This window comes from Homo sapiens, chromosome 4, assembly GCF_000001405.40.
Source record: "Homo sapiens chromosome 4, GRCh38.p14 Primary Assembly".
Taxonomy (NCBI): Eukaryota; Metazoa; Chordata; class Mammalia; order Primates; family Hominidae; genus Homo; species Homo sapiens.
The window spans coordinates 161,619,185-161,635,472 of NC_000004.12; the positions used below are offsets into that span (position 1 = coordinate 161,619,185).

The following is a 16,288-nucleotide window of genomic DNA, read 5'->3' on the forward strand; positions in this document are numbered from 1 at the left end:
TAATTCAAGATGGATTAAAGACTTAAACGTTAGACCTAAAACCATAAAAACCCTAGAAGAAAACCTAGGCATTACCATTCAGGACATAGGCATGGGCAAGGACTTCATGTCCAAAACACCAAAAGCAATGGCAACAAAAGACAAAATTGACAAATGGGATCTAATGAAACTAAAGAGTTTCTGCACAGCAAAAGAAACTACCATCAGAGTGAACAGGCAACCTACAAAATGGGAGATAATTTTCCCAACCTACTCATCTGACAAAGGGCTAATATCCAGAATCTACAATGAACTCAAATAAATTTACAAGAAAAAAACAAACAACCCCTTCAAAAAGTGGGCGAAGGACATGAACAGACACTTCTCAAAAGAAGATATTTATGCAGCCAAAAAACATGAAAAAATGCTCACCATCACTGGCTATCAGAGAACTGCAAATCAAAACCACAATGAGATACCATCTCACACCAGTTAGAATGGCAATCATTAAAAAGTCAGGAAACAACAGGTGCTGGAGAGGATGTGGAGAAATAGGAACACTTTTACACTGTTGGTGGGACTGTAAACTAGTTCAACCATTGTGGAAGTCAGTGTGGCGATTCCTCAGGGACCTAGAACTAGAAATACCACTTGACCCAGCCATCCCATTACTGGGTATATACCCAAAGGACTATAAATCATGCTGCTATAAAGACACATGCACACGTATGTTTATTGCGGCACTATTCACAATAGCAAAGACTTGGAACCAACCCAAATGTCCAACAACGATAGACTGGATTGAGAGAATGTGGCACATATACACCATGGAATACCATGCAGCCATAAAAAATGATGAGCTCATGTCCTTTGTAGGGACATGGATGAAATTGGAAATCATCATTCTCAGTAAACTATCGCAAGAAGAAAAAAAGAACCACCGCATATTCTCACTCATAGGTGGGAATTGAACAATGAGATCACATGGACACAGGAAGGGGAACATCACACTCTGGGGACTGTTGTGGGGTGGGGGGAGGGGGGAGGGATAGCTTTAGGAGATATACCTAATGCTAAATGACGAGTTAATGGGTGCAGCACACCAGCATGGCACATGTATACATTTGTAACTAACCTGCACATTGTGCACATGTACCCTAAAACGTAAAGTATAATAATAATTTAAAAGAAAAAAGAAATGCTAACAGAGGCCAGGAGCAGTGGCTTACATCTGTAATCCCAGTGCTTTGGGAGGCCAAGATGGGCAGGTCACCTGAGGTCGGCATTTTGAAACCAACCTGACCACTATGGAGAAACCTCTTTTCTACTAAAAATACAAAAAATTAGCCGGGCGCGGTGGCAGGCGCCTGTAATCCCAGCTACTCGGGAAGCTGAGGTAGGAGAATCGCTTGAACGCGAAGGGTGGAGGTTGAGATGAGCCGAGATCGCGCCATTGCACTCCAGCCTAGGCAACAAGAATGAAACTCCATCTCAAAAACAAAAACAAAAACAAAAACAAAAAAGTGCTAACAGAGTTCTTCAGGATGAAAGCCAATGGCACAAAGTGATAATTTAGATATACAGAAATGAATAAAGACACTCAAAATGGTAAATATGTAGGTAAATATAAATGATCAATATTAAAATGATGAATATAACAGAAAGATCTCATGATTTAAAATTACAAATATATGAAAACCTTTAATAATAGAGATTCAAGATATATGAAGCAAAAACTGACAGAACCTCAGGGAGAAATAGATTCATAATCATAATCAATAATTGGTATCACTCCTCCCTCTAGAATAACACAAGTAATAGAGGAAAAGAAAAAAGAAACACAGTAGGAATATAAAATATCAGAATGACACTCTTAACCAGTTTGACCAGTATACTCCAAAACTGGAGAAAACATACTCTTGCAAGGTCACATGGGACATTCACAAGATGTACCGTATGGAGGCCATAAAACAATTCCAGTGCATGAACAAAATTAAATCTTGCAAAGGGTATTTTCTGATCACTGAAGAATTCAATGAAAAATCATTTCCAGAAAACTATCTGAAAAGTCTCTAAATAGTAGGGATATGGGGATGTAAAGACTACACACACACACACACACACACACACACACACACACACAAACACAAAATTTGGCCAAAGAAGAAATCAATTACAAGTGAAGTTAGAAAATATGTCAAACTAAATAATCATTGAAATATAAGATTTCAAAATATTTAAGCAGCAGCTAATACAGTACATACAAATTTAAAAGGTTGCAGGAAAGCAAGAGAAATTTAACTTAAACTAGCTAAGATCTCCTCTCAACAAAGTTTTAGAACAAACCAGCAAGTTAAACCCATGATAAATGTAAGAAGAAATAACAATGACAATAGAAGAAACCAACAAAATAGAATAAAGACAGAAAAGTTAACAAAGCAAAATTTATTTACTTGAAAAGATTGTTAAAATTGATAAACTCCCCTAAGATTCATAAAGGAAACATTAAGACAATGGGAATTACCAATATCAGGCCAGGCGCAATGGCTCACAGCTGTAATCCTAGCACTTTGGGAGGGAGGCCAAGGCCAGTGGATCACCTGAGGCCAGGAGTTCGAGACCAGCCTGACCAACATGATGAGACCCTGTCTCTTCTAAAAATACAAAAAAAAAAAAAAAAAAAAAATAGCTGGCTGTGGTGGTGCATGTCAATATTCCCAGGTACTCGGGAGGCTGAGTCAGGAGGATCCTTGAACCCAGGAGGTGGAGGTTTCAGTGAGCCAAGATCGCACCACTGCACTCCAGCCTGGCAACAAGCACGAAACTCCCTCTCAAAAAAATAAAATAAAATAAAATAAAAATACTAGTATTAGAATTGAGATAGGTGCGATTACTACATATGCTAAAAACATTAGAAGTTGATAATGAATTCATGGTATAAACACTCAGATCAATAAATTTGTAAACAGGAATTTAGAAAAATGGACAAATTGTTTGAAAAGTTCAAGTTAAACCAATAAACATGAGATTAAATACAAAATCTTAACAGCCTTTTATCTCTTAAATAAATTGTATTTATTATTAAAATCTTTCCCCACAAAAATTTCAGAGGTTTACACTGGTGAATCCTGGAAAGGTTAAGAAATTAATTCATACCAATGTTACACAACTTTTTTTGTAAAACAGAGGAAGAAGGGCTACCTCTGAACATATGTTATGAAGTCAGTGAAAGCTTGACGTAAAAACATAACAAACACATTACTACAATAGAAAATTATAGACCCTCATGAATAACTCTCCTGAATACAGAAAAAAGTCATTAATAAAATACTAGCAATTGAAAGCACCAAAATATGTAAGTAAATAAATATGTATTTATTTATTTACATATGTGTATATATATATATAATGACCAAGTGGAGTTACCATTGGGGTGAAAAGTTAGTTTAATCCTTGAAAACTGTACAATTTAATCTTCTAAGTTAAGAGAATGATTTAATTACACTAGCAGATGAAGGCAAACAATTTGATAATGGTGTTTCATTAATATAATCTGTTACGTAATTCAATATATTATAAAAACAGAAAGCTGGCAAAAAAGTTTAGAAAATTTTTATTTAAGAATCAATTCCAGGTATACTCCACATTACTTAAACCTGAGTATATGTGTGTGTATTTAAGTAGTACAATTTGTACTCCCCACCCCTCACATTGTGATGCTTGACATTTCTGTGAAGGACATCAGAACAATCTATAAATATAAAGCTGGGAACAGACGTGAGGCTTTCTTATTTTTATCCAGGAAGCCAAGGTTGCCTTGTATTATAAAAATAATTAACTACAGTGAAAGACAATAAAAGTCATAAACTATCTCAATAACTGCTGAAAAAATTACACTTTTGACAGAAAAGAATCATTGATGATAACATTCTAGCACACTCGGAATAAAATAAACATCTTTTATCTGCCAACAGGTATATTCAAAACATCTAAAGTATACATCATACTTCAGAGACAAACTCTGAAAACTTACTTTTGAGATATGTAAGAAAAGAAAAGTTTCCATTAACATAACTTTCATTGAATTTTGTACTGGATTTTCCAGGTGGTACAATAAGTCAAGGAAAATAAATAAAAGTATGGAGACAGGCAGGAAACAACCATATTAGTATTGGCAGATGTTATCACTATTTAAAGACACATGTTCACTGCAATTTTTATTTCAACATTTATGTTGAATTAGATTACATAAATTATCCTACATTTTAATTTTTTAATGAAATATTTGTACTCAAATATTTTATGATTATTGTTAATATTATTTACAATTTTCATATTGGTTAAATAATTTTCCTGTTTGTTAAAATTTTATTATACAATGAAGTGATATATATTTAGTGGGGTCAGTCCCTATGTAATTTTTGATAACATTTTCTCTAGATTAATTTTAGGTTTAGATTTTATCAGTGATTTTTTTTTCTGTGACACAACTGCTTATGAAAGAAAAAATTAAATTATGGTGTTGTATTTAGTATCTAAAACTATTTCTGGCATGATATGATACTTCAAATCAGTGATAAATATCTGTTTATTTCTACTTAAAAAGCCTACCGCTTTTTCATTAAGTAGCATCCATACTTCAGAGAAGAGTTCTGTGAATTATCTTGCATTTTTTATTCAAAATGTTTTAATTTAACATACTTGAAATATTTGACATAGTAAAACTTCCAGGACTTGCTTATACATTTGATAATTTATTAATTCTTTTTAAAGAAATTTATATAGTTCTTAGCAGTTAAATTTGCAAGGCAAACTTTAGAACACCATATTAATGAATGTATGAAAGTAAAAATTTCCAATACTATTTATATACTGTTTTTCATAAGACAAAGACAATGGAGAAAAATGCTTCCACATGAGAGAAAAGATAGCTATAACCAATTAAGAAATTACATTTGAGGCAATTAGTAAAGAATAACAACAGCCACTTTATTCATAGTCTGAATTTTGCTTGCCTACCAAATTGAAGTGTGGACCTCTGCACTGTACTGACCTAACATCCCTTTATTATTACAATTTCTTATATCATAGAAATACATGCCAAATTTGAAAACCTAAATGACTTCTGATTCCAAAAACCAAACAGGATCACTATTTTTTGACATTTTAATTTGTCCCTTTACGTATGTATCCATAGATAATAATTTAATTTGATTTTAAGAATTAGAGTTTAGGATACCTTCTGAATAATAATTCAGGGAATAATTTGAGAACACACAAAATTATCTAAACTTACAATTTGACAATTTTGATTAAATGTATATTTATCATTTATAATATAAATTTATTAAAAGTTCCTTTATATTATAGAGCTACAGATTATAGGTGTACATTTTTTAATTATAATACTAAAAACTTTAATACATGATTGTAAATTTATTATGATTGTATGCTCTTCATATTAAAAACCTTAAAATACTCCATTTCAAAATAGAAAACCTTATACTGTTTGAGAAAAAAAAATATTATCTACCACTCTGCAATAAGTTAAGCATCTAGAATGAGGAAGAACGATACTATTCCAAGATTAAAATAAGTATTACCTTTTCTAATATATTTTTGCATTTTAGTGCACATATTTTTATCTTTATCAACCAGTATATGTTTTGTAGATACTGCTGAATTTGGACATATTTGCTGTATGCCAAACTTTAGTTCCAGATTCTATGCAGAAGTCCTACCGGAAGCAGCAGAGAAGCCGGTGCTACAGTGAACAATATGTAAACCCTTTTTTGGGGACCATTTTGTCCAGCATCAACAGCAGCTGAACTAGGTGTTGTATTAGGAAATACCAGTTTGCCATTCTAGGATTCTATGATGGTTAATAGTATACAGTATTGTTCAATAATGGGATAACAGAAGAAAATATCTGTCATATGGAACAATAGTACTCAAAAAGTTCCTTTTAATCACATGCAAATTTACAGTCAATAAATTAACAATGTTTCTATAGGTACTAGTTTAATATCAGTATTTCACAGTACAAGCTTACTTTGCTTTATTATGCTTTACAGATATTGCAATTTTTACAAACGAAAAGGTTCTGGTAACTCAGCCTTGAGCAAGTTTATAGGCACCATTTTTCCTACAGTATGTGCTCACTTCATGTCTCTGTGTCACATTTTGATAAGTCTCACAATATCTCCAACTTTTTTGTTATTATTATATTATGATGATTGTGATCAGTTATCATTGATGTTAATATTGTCATTGTTTTCGGTTGCCATGAACTACATGCCTAAAATGTGGCAAACAATTGGTAAAAATTGCGTGTGTTCTTAATTGAAAAATGTGTGCTTCACCGACTGGCCAATACTTCATCTCTCTCACTATCCTCAGGCCTCCCTATTCCCTAAGACACAAATTTTAAAACTAGGCCAACAATAGCCTTACAATGACCTCTAAGTGTTTAAGTGAAAGGAAGAGTCACACACCTCTCATTTTAAATCAAAAACTAGAAATGATGAAGGTAAGTGGGAGAGGCATGTTGAAAGCCGAAACAGGTCAAAAGCTAGGGTTCTTGTGCCCAACATCCAAGTTTTAAATGCAAAGGAAAAGTTCTTGAAGGAAATTAAAAGTGCAATTTCAATAAACACACAAAAAATAACAAAGCGAAACAGGTTTATTGATGATATAGAGAAAGTTTGAGTGGTCTGGATAGAAGATCAAACCACCCACAACATTCCCTTAAGACAAAACTAATCCAGAGAAAGGCTGTAAATCTCTTCAATTTTATGGAGGCTGAGATATATGAAAGCACAGAGAAAATTTGGAAGCTTTTCTTCTGTAAGAAAGAGGTTAGTTCATGGAGTTTAAGGAAAAAAGCCACTTCCATAATGTAAAAGTGCATGGTGACACGAATGCTGATGTAGAAGCTGCAGCAAGTTATCCAGAAGAGCTAGCTAAGATCATTGATGAAGCTGACTACACTACACAAAATATTTTTAATGTAGACAAAACCATCTTGTGATGGGCGAAAATACCATTTAGGACTTGTAGTTAGAGAGAAGACAATGTCTGTCTTTAAAGCTTTAAAAAACAGGCCGATTCTCTTGTTAAGGGCTAATGCACTCGGTGACTTTGAATTGAAGCCAATGCTTATTTATTATTCTGAAAATCCTAAGGCCCTAAGAATTATTCTAAATCTACTCTGCCTGTGCTTCTTAAATGGAACAACAGCCTGGATCATAGCACATCTGTTTAAAGCATGGCTTACTGAATATTTTAAGCCCACTATTGAGACATACTGCTCATAAAAAAATAAAAAACGATTCCTTTCAAAATATTACTTCTCATTGACAACGCACCTAGTCATCCAGGAGCTCTGATGGAGATGTGCAAGGATATGAATCTTGCTTTTATGATTGCAATCACCACATTCATTCTGCAACACATGGATCAAGAATAATTTTTCATTTCTAGTCTTATTATTTAAGAAACACATTTTGTATGGCTACAGCTGCCACAGGAACATCTGGGCATGATAAATTGAAAATCTCTTGGAAAGGATTCACCATTCTTGATGCCGTTAAGAACATTCATGATTTATGCCAGAAGGTCAAACATTTATATTAACAGGAGTTTGGAAGAAGTTGAATCCAATCCTCATGGATGGCTTCAAAGGGTTCAAGAGTTACAGATGTGATGCAAATAGCAAAACTAGAATGAGAAGTGGAGCCTGAAGATGTGAATGAGTTGCTACAGTAGCACTATAAAAGTTGAACAGATTACTTGCTTTTTATGGATGAGCAAACAAAGAGGTTTCCTGAGATGCAACCTACTGGGGAAGATGCATGAAAATTGTTTAAATGACAAAAAATGATTTAGGAGATTATGTAAACTTAGTTGATAAAGGGTTTAAGATAATTGACTTCAATTGTGAAAGAAATTCTACTGTGTGTAAAACACTATGAAAAGTATCATATGCTGCAGAGAAATCTTTCAAAAAGAGTCGATTGATGCAGCAAACTTCACTGTTGTCTTATTTTACAAAATTGCCACAGCCACCCCAATTTTCAGCTTCTACCACTCTGCTCAGTCAGCAGCCATCAACACTGAGGCAAGATCCTCCACTAGCAAAAAGAGTATGACTTGCTGAAGGCTCAGATAATTGTCAGCCACTTTAGAAATAACATACTTTTAATTCAGGCATTTACATTTATATTTTATACATAATGCCATCGTACTTAATACACTTAATAGAATACATTATAGTATAAATATAACTTTTATATGCACTGGGAAACCAAAACAATTTGTGTGACTCTCTTTATTGCAATATTTGTTTTAATGTGATGGTCTATAACCAAACCTTCAAGATCTCCGAGGCATGCCTGAAAGTCTAGAAAATGTGTTTTTGTTAGATACCTTTTTACAAAAGTATAGAAGCTCAAAAATCTTAATGGTTTATTACAGAATATTAACTTTTAATAATTCACCATATATTTATACCCATTACTACACTGCCTAAGTCAAAAGTAGTGTACAACCAGATAATTTCCCATATGACAATTTTGAATATCATGAAATATTTTTCTGGAATATTAAAGTGAAAGTTGACTAAAATAAAAGCATTTTAGTCTATATATTAAAAAATCTTATAATTTTACATCTGATATAAAATTATTAAGAAGAATTTTGATATATACTGTCACGGTCATACAGACACAGACTTTGGAATAATTTTATGATAGTAACATATGTCAATATAACTCATTTCTCATTCAAATCCAATACACACAAAAGAATTAGCCATGAATGGAAACATTCCCACACAGACAAAATAGTACAATTTTGGAACCAACAAATCTAGCTTTTAATTCTTGCTTTACCTCTTGCTTTCCTTTTGGTTAAATAAGTCCCCGAGCCTCAGTTTTCTCAGACATAAATGGGGAAAGATGCCCCTTTCCATACAATATTTGTATGATAATTAAAGGAACAAATCAATATAGCACACATTCACACTGTGTCTGGCATGTGATAGGCACTCAAAAATGTTAATTCTCTTCCCCATAAGTTTCTAACATTTTTATACAGACTTAATTGAAAAATCTATAATCTCTATATTTTTACTTGTGTAGATTATTCTAGTTGTAGTAAATTATTTTAAAAAGCAAGAAAAAATTGAAATTAAAGTATCAGTGGGGTCCTGATTAGTCTAAAGGTCTTAGATGGATATGTTACACTCCAACCAGAAATATGACAGCCTTGATAAAAACGGCTTAAAGGAAACACACAAATTGCAGCTCCATTTTTAAAATTATGTCTAAAAATTAATATATATAACATAATATCAGAGTATAATTATTTTACTTTTTCAGATTAACCAAGGATGAATGATAGTCATATTACTTTTAATGTGCAGAGAGATGCCAAAAAGGACATCTGAGATCACGTTAGCCCGTTAAGTGTAACATTAAATCCCAATGAAATTTAGGTTTGAATTTTACAATGCATCTCAATCTGAAACCTCCATTACTAATTGGTAATTTATTCCTTTTAACTTCCTATCAGGTTGGCCCTGCCAATCTTATTCCCTTGATCACAATTTTTCACTTGCTCATTTCTAATGTCAAGATTCAGACTACTAATGGACAGCCATGAAATTCTGCTGCCTGGCTGTACTATGAAAGTCACTGATCTCCAGGAATAATAAAGGTCTGTATATTTTATTAATTGGTTAGCATATTCAACTCAATAGTATTTATTAAAAACTTTCTATACACTTATAATTTTGGTATTTATTATAGGGTTATAATTTCTCAAAGAGCCTGAGATTTAGTGGAGGAGCTAAAGCAACACATCTATAGGTATGTGTTAGACAAAGTAGAAAGAAATGACATCAATTATTATTTAAAACTAAGTTTGCTTTGTCCCTGAAGAGCAGTGATTTTCATGGTACACACAGGCAGCAGAACCCTGTGGCTGTCCAACATAAGTCTCACCACAAGCTGTTTCTGCTTCCTTCATGTTTTGACTGACCTACTACCACATACTACTCTAACTCCAGCTCTGTTTTCTGTTCCAAGTTACAATGAACATTTCCAAACATAATTTTACTAGTAAGGAAGAGTGAAAACACAAGAGACAAAATGAAAATCAATGAAGTTATAGTAAATTAGATAATTTTTTTTTTTGAGACGGAGTTTTGCTCTTGTCACCCAGGCTGGAGTGCGATGGCATGATCTCGGTTCACTGCAACCTCTGCCTCCTGGGTTCAAGCCATTCTCCTGTCTCAGCCTCCCTGGTAGCTGGGATTACAGGTGCCTGCCACCACACCTGGCTAAGTTTTTGCATTTTTTAGTAGAGACAGAGTTTCCCCATGTTGGCCAGGCTGGTCCTGAACTTCTGACCTCAGGTAATCCACCCGCCTCGGCCTCTGAAAGTGCTGGGATTACAGGCCTGAGCCACCGCGCCCGGCCCATAAAATGTTTTTAATGAAAGAAGCATCTTGGAGGGAAGAAAATGGGATTTTTTTCCCCTAAGCCATAGCTATATATGTTTTTGGCCGAGTCAGTTCACACCAAAATTATTATCAGCCCCAAATTATTGGGCTCCTGGTCAAATACTCATGTGTGAACCTTTAGGCCTGACTACGGGAAATTACAAAGGCTTTACCTGGCAGGTCTCAGAGGGGAAAGCTATCCCCTGAACGACAGAGTTGGCGCACAGCCAGTGCGAGGCTGTCTATGATGGGACTTCCAGTCGGAGGCTCAGGACCTCCTGGCCGGCCATTCTCTTATGCATATCTTCATTCCTAGCCCAGGGGCCTATAGTGGAGTCTTCCTCAGACACTGCAGCCGAGGCCTCTTAATGGGGGAATCAGGGAGAACTAGGAGACACTTTCCTCCACTAGGTTTCAGTACTTTTTCTTTCCTAGCCCTTACTCCTTCTTCCCCTCCCCTTCCTGCCCCTCCGTTCCAGGTCCATAAAACTGCGGGACCCTTCTGTTCAGCTTCACTGTGCAGTGAGGTGACTCACCATGTTTATGCTAATCCAGCTTACCCTTTACTGGTGCTGTTTCACGTGGGAAAATGAACAGTGCGGTGAGTTACTGCCAGCTCTCATTTAGCCTCTGGCTCATATTTTCGTACTAAATGATCACAGTCTTGACTGTTGCTTTCGTCTTGGTTTGTGTTTTCTATCAGCTACTATGGCACCTGGCAGTACAGCTCTCTCCAGGTCAGCTCAAGCCCTTGAAAATATGTGCTTTTATGAGCCTTTCTTGTTTGTGAAGTAGAGACAGCAATAACTTTCTCATCATAAGTATAGCCAATGATATATGTGGATTTCCTAAGATAAAACTGGCACTGTAATTTCAAAACCACAATTGTAACTGGAAATTTGAAGGATCAGAAAAAGAGTTAATGACAGTGATTGGCTATATCACTAACTTTAAATATTGGTTAAGTATGTCTCCACAAAGATGAATAATAAATATTATGACTTCAAACTACACATGGTTTACTCAATTGCCTCAAAGTCAACATATGCGTAAGAAAACTATATTACGATTCCAACAGAAAACCAATTAACAAAATTATTCTATTTCTACCAATGGTGCTATCATTCTTTGAGTCACATGGCCCCAAAATATTATTTACTTGTATTTTGTGTCTGCTTTTGTCCTCATCTGTTGACAGAACTTTGCTTTACATGAACTTGTCATAGAAACAAATTCTTTCTTATAACTTTTAACTGTTTTCTTAACAGGAATCTGACACAAATGCTCTTCTGCGTTTTTCCAATATTCTCATAATGTAATTGTTCAATGATAAATAATCAAGCAAAATATAAGCAAATTAACTCATTATATGCCATGTTAATTGATTCAATGTACCTGGCATTTTTTTGTATTGATTTAGGTTCAAGAAAATAGATTCTTCACCGGTGCCTTATACCAAGATCCACTACAGCAATGTAATTGTTGATTCTATGCCCTGAGAATAATATATGCCCATTTCTACCTTCATAACAAAGTCCCTAAAATTAGAGTTTTCTCATATTCCTTTAGAATTATTCTACCTCTTCTTGTCTTTCAAGAATAAAGTTTGAATTTCATCAATAAATTGCTTAGTCCCCAGTTCATAATCTGTTCTTCTATTAATAATTCATGCGGCCCGGCACGGTCATGCCTGTAATCCTAGCATTTTGGGAGGCCAAGGCAGATGGATCACTGGGGTCACAAGTTCGAGAGCAGCCTGGCCAATATGGCAAAAACCCATTTCTACTAAAAATACAAAAATTAGCCAGGAATGGTGGCAGGTGCCTGTAATTCCAGCTACTCAGGAGGGTGAGGCAAGAGAGTCACTTGAACCCAGGGGGCAGAGGTTGCAGTGAGCCTAGATCGTACCATTTCACTCCAGACTGGACGAAATAGTGAGATTCTGTCTCTAAATAAATTAATAAATAATTCAGATGACACATAACACTAATTTGGCACTTGATGCTATATTATTAGATTTATTTAGTTATATGACTAGTATTCAGGGTGCCATAGAACCTCTTCTGACACACAAATTACTACAAAATTTTGACTGGACAACACTAATAACAAATGAAAAGGTTTAAATTACATTTTTATTATTCATTGAAGAAAAATAGTTTCAAATTTGCAAAAGTACCTAAATAGAGTTGGTAATTAAGGACATTTTACAAGAAATTCTAGTATAGTATTTATGTGGGAACTCAGGTAAAGCATTTTCCTACCATTTCTCATTTAAAGTTCCTTCAATTTAGAAGTACACTGAAGCTATATTTGGTTCATGTAAAATTTATCTTAGCATATAGAAAATCAACTCCAAATTTAATAATTATTTTCAATTGAGTGACTTTTCCACTGCACAGAAGTAAATTTTTAAGAGAAAGATAGATTCAGCCAGGCATGGTGGCTCACACCTGTAATCCCAGCACTTTGGGAGGCTGAGGCAGGCGAATCATGAGGTCAGGAGTTTGAGACCAGCCTGACCAACATGGTGAAACCCCATCTCTACTAAAAATACAAAAAATTAGTTGGGTGTGGTGGCGGGCACCTGTAATCCCATCTACTTGGGAGGCTGAGACGGGAGAATCTCTTGAACCCGGGTGGCAGAGGTTGCAATGAGCAGAGATCACGCCACTGTGTTCGAGCCCTGGCGACAGACTGAGACTCCGCCCCCAAAATCAAAACAAAACAAAACAAAAAGAGAGAAAAATAGATTCAAGTTAACATGGGGGCAATAATACATTTAGACATTGGTGTGTAGTTTTTCAAAGTCCTAAAAATATGTATCATTTAATGGCCAAATAACATGGCTAAGTAAATAACCTGGCCACATATAACTTTGTGTAAATGCAATTGTATTCTATTGATTATTCTTCTACAATTATAACTTGTGCATTTAACTCTGTGAATTTATGTCAAGAAAACACATTCTCTAAAACTAATAGTCTGAGTTAAAAGAAAGAGTTTTTTATTGATTTCTGTGTTTTTTAGAAGGTGAATATTACATATTCTTATGAAATATGTATTGGAGTTATATACACTATTTCTAATTTGCTTACAAGTTGATTTGTTAGTATTTTCATTAATAAAATATTCAAATAAAATAGGTTAAACTCTTAGAAAATAAACAAGGGAATTTAAACGAGGACCAAAGAAATAGAGTAAAAGTTCTTATGAGGGACAGAAAACTAAATCTTATTAAATTTTCACTATCTACCTCGTTTTATTCTAAAGATGTATGTTTCATTTAATATATTTTTTGTTCACAAATCTCTAAGGCAAGTGGCTAGAATGGATTTTGTTTTCCTTATAAGTAAGAAGGTTGTTATTTAGAATGATTGTTTCTTTTGCTAACATCCTGTTACCTAGCAAATGATAGCACAATGTTTCTAAAATAGGTATTTCATAGGTGCATATCTCTTTTAGGCCCGGGGTCACGTTGAAGTTGCTAAATTTATTAAAATAGCAAAAATATTTAGCATCCCTCAAAACTATTCCCAATACTTAATTTTATTACTAAATTATACAGCTTCCCCCCCACTTTTGTTTTTGTTTTTGTTTTCTGTGTCTTTAAACTAATTCTTTTTATTATTATTATTATTATTATTATTATTATTATTATACTTTACATTTTAGGGTACATGTGCACAACGAGACCAAGTCTCGCTCTGTCCTCTGTCACCAGTTTGGAGTGCAGTGGCGCGATCGCGGCTCACTGCAACCTCTGCCTCCCGGGTTCAAGTGATTCTCCTGCCTCAGCCTCCCGAGTAGCTGAGACTACAGGCACACACCACCACACCCAGCTAATTTTTGTATTTTTAGTAGAAACAGGGTTTCACCATGTTGGCCAGGATGGTCTCGATCTCTTGACCTCGTGATCCGCCTGCCTCGGCCTCCCAAAGTGCTGGGATTACAGATGTGAACCACCGCACCCAGCCTAGCTTCCCCTTTTATTCAGTTAAATTAAGAGTATATCTTTCTAAAATATCATGCTAGAGTGTTTAGTAACTAGATGTATGGAGCTGAAAACATTGTTGAAATGAAATTTTAAAACAGTAAAAACACAAATGCAAAGCAAATATAAAATGAGCATGAGACAACAGTTTATTTAATTCATTAATCAGAACACTAGCAAGATAATAAAGCTAGTTCAAAGTCTTTTTGAGGAGCAGAGATGTATGTAATTTGAAAAAGATATGTTAAAGTAAGTTTGTTATGTTAAACACAAAGCTGGTTAATGTCCTACAGGGCAATGTAACAATTATTTTGGAGTTACCTTTCTATAGAATAGGATCATTTAAATCTTTGTTGGACAACGTATACACAAATCAACATTCTTATTCACAGAATCTGTTCCTAATCAAAAGTTAATGTCCAAACAAAGCTATATCCCTAGACAATTAAATAGTTTCTGGATGGGAATGTTAGACCATGCTCCAATATGACTTTGAAAGCTTTGTCACCCATTTGTTCATTTCCAAGTGGTGATGTTTTCTTAGTAAAATTTGCAGGTGAACAGGAGAGATAATAATACAAAACTTTCAAGTATCAAGACCTCCTTTCCTAAAGAAAGGGAGAGACATTATTTAGAGCTGTTGACTTTAAGGCATTAGCCAAAAGATAGCCCTCTATTTGCTCTAACCTAAGCTATAAATCAATCATCCAGCAACCTCACTACTGAATTTGTATCCTAAGGAAGTGAAATCAGTATCTTGACAAGATATCTGCACCTTCAATGTTTATTACAGCATTAGTCACAATAGCCAAGGTATGTAAACCAACAAAATATCCATCAACTGACAAATGGATAAAGAAAATACAGTATAAATATTAAATGATAGGTTATCCAATCTTAAAAAAACAGGAACACCTGCTGTTTGTGACAATATCCATGAACCTGGAAAACATTATGCTAAGAGAAATAAGTCAGATACAAAAAGACAAGTACCCTATGATTTTACATATATGTGGAATGTAAAAAAGCTGAACCAATAATCAGAGAGAGTAGAATGGTGGTTGTCAGGAACTGGGGATGAGAAAAATGGGAGGACATTGTTCAAAGGGTACGAAGTTTCTATTATGCAGGATGATTGAATTATTGAGATCCAATGAACAGATTGGTGACTATAGGTAATCATGTTTTATTGTTAAGAGAATATGCTAATTATTATCATCACACACACACAAAATGGTAACTCTGTGAGGTAATGGATATCTTAATTAGCTTGATTGTGGTAATCCTTTCGCAATGTATATGTGTATCAAAATATCACATTATATGTCATAAATGTATACTACAATTTTTATTTGTCAATTATACCTCAATAAAGCTGAAAAAAAATCTTGTAATTGAAACTATGTTTGTCTCAGTTTGATTTTCTCCTAAAAATCATATCTACTGGCTGGGCGCAGTGGCTCACCCCTGTAATCCCAGCAATTTGGGAGGCCGAGGCAGGCAGATCACAAGGTCAGGAGTTCAAGACCAGCCTGGCCAAGATGGTAAAACCCTATCTCTATTAAAAATACAAAAAAATTAGCCGGGCGTGGTGGCAGGCGCCTGTAATCCCAGTTACTCAGAAGGCTGAGGCAGAGAATTGCTTTAACCTGGGAGGCGGAGGTTCCAGTGAGCCGAGATGGCATCACTGTACTCCAGCCTGGGCGATAGAGTGAGACTCTGTCTCAAAACAAACAAACAAACAAAATTATATCTACCTGCTATACAAAATGTCAATTCACTGAAAATTAGCTTCGTTTTTGATGTTGGAG

General features: G+C 34.7%; 1 protein-coding gene across 4 annotated transcripts in view, besides 1 other annotated feature; it reads right to left on the reverse strand.

Annotated features, from left to right (window-relative positions):
• The window catches only part of FSTL5 (follistatin like 5), a 780,104-nt gene that overhangs the window by 235,288 nt on the left and 528,528 nt on the right, over positions 1-16,288 (reverse strand). The window lies entirely within an intron of this gene.
• Positions 10,893-11,187: an enhancer, noted in NCBI's record as "tiled region #7835; K562 Activating non-DNase unmatched - State 24:Quies". NCBI's record gives its function as "activates a minimal TATA promoter and a strong SV40 promoter by Sharpr-MPRA in K562 cells {active_cell/tissue: K562}" and the evidence as "EXISTENCE:reporter gene assay evidence [ECO:0000049][PMID:27701403]".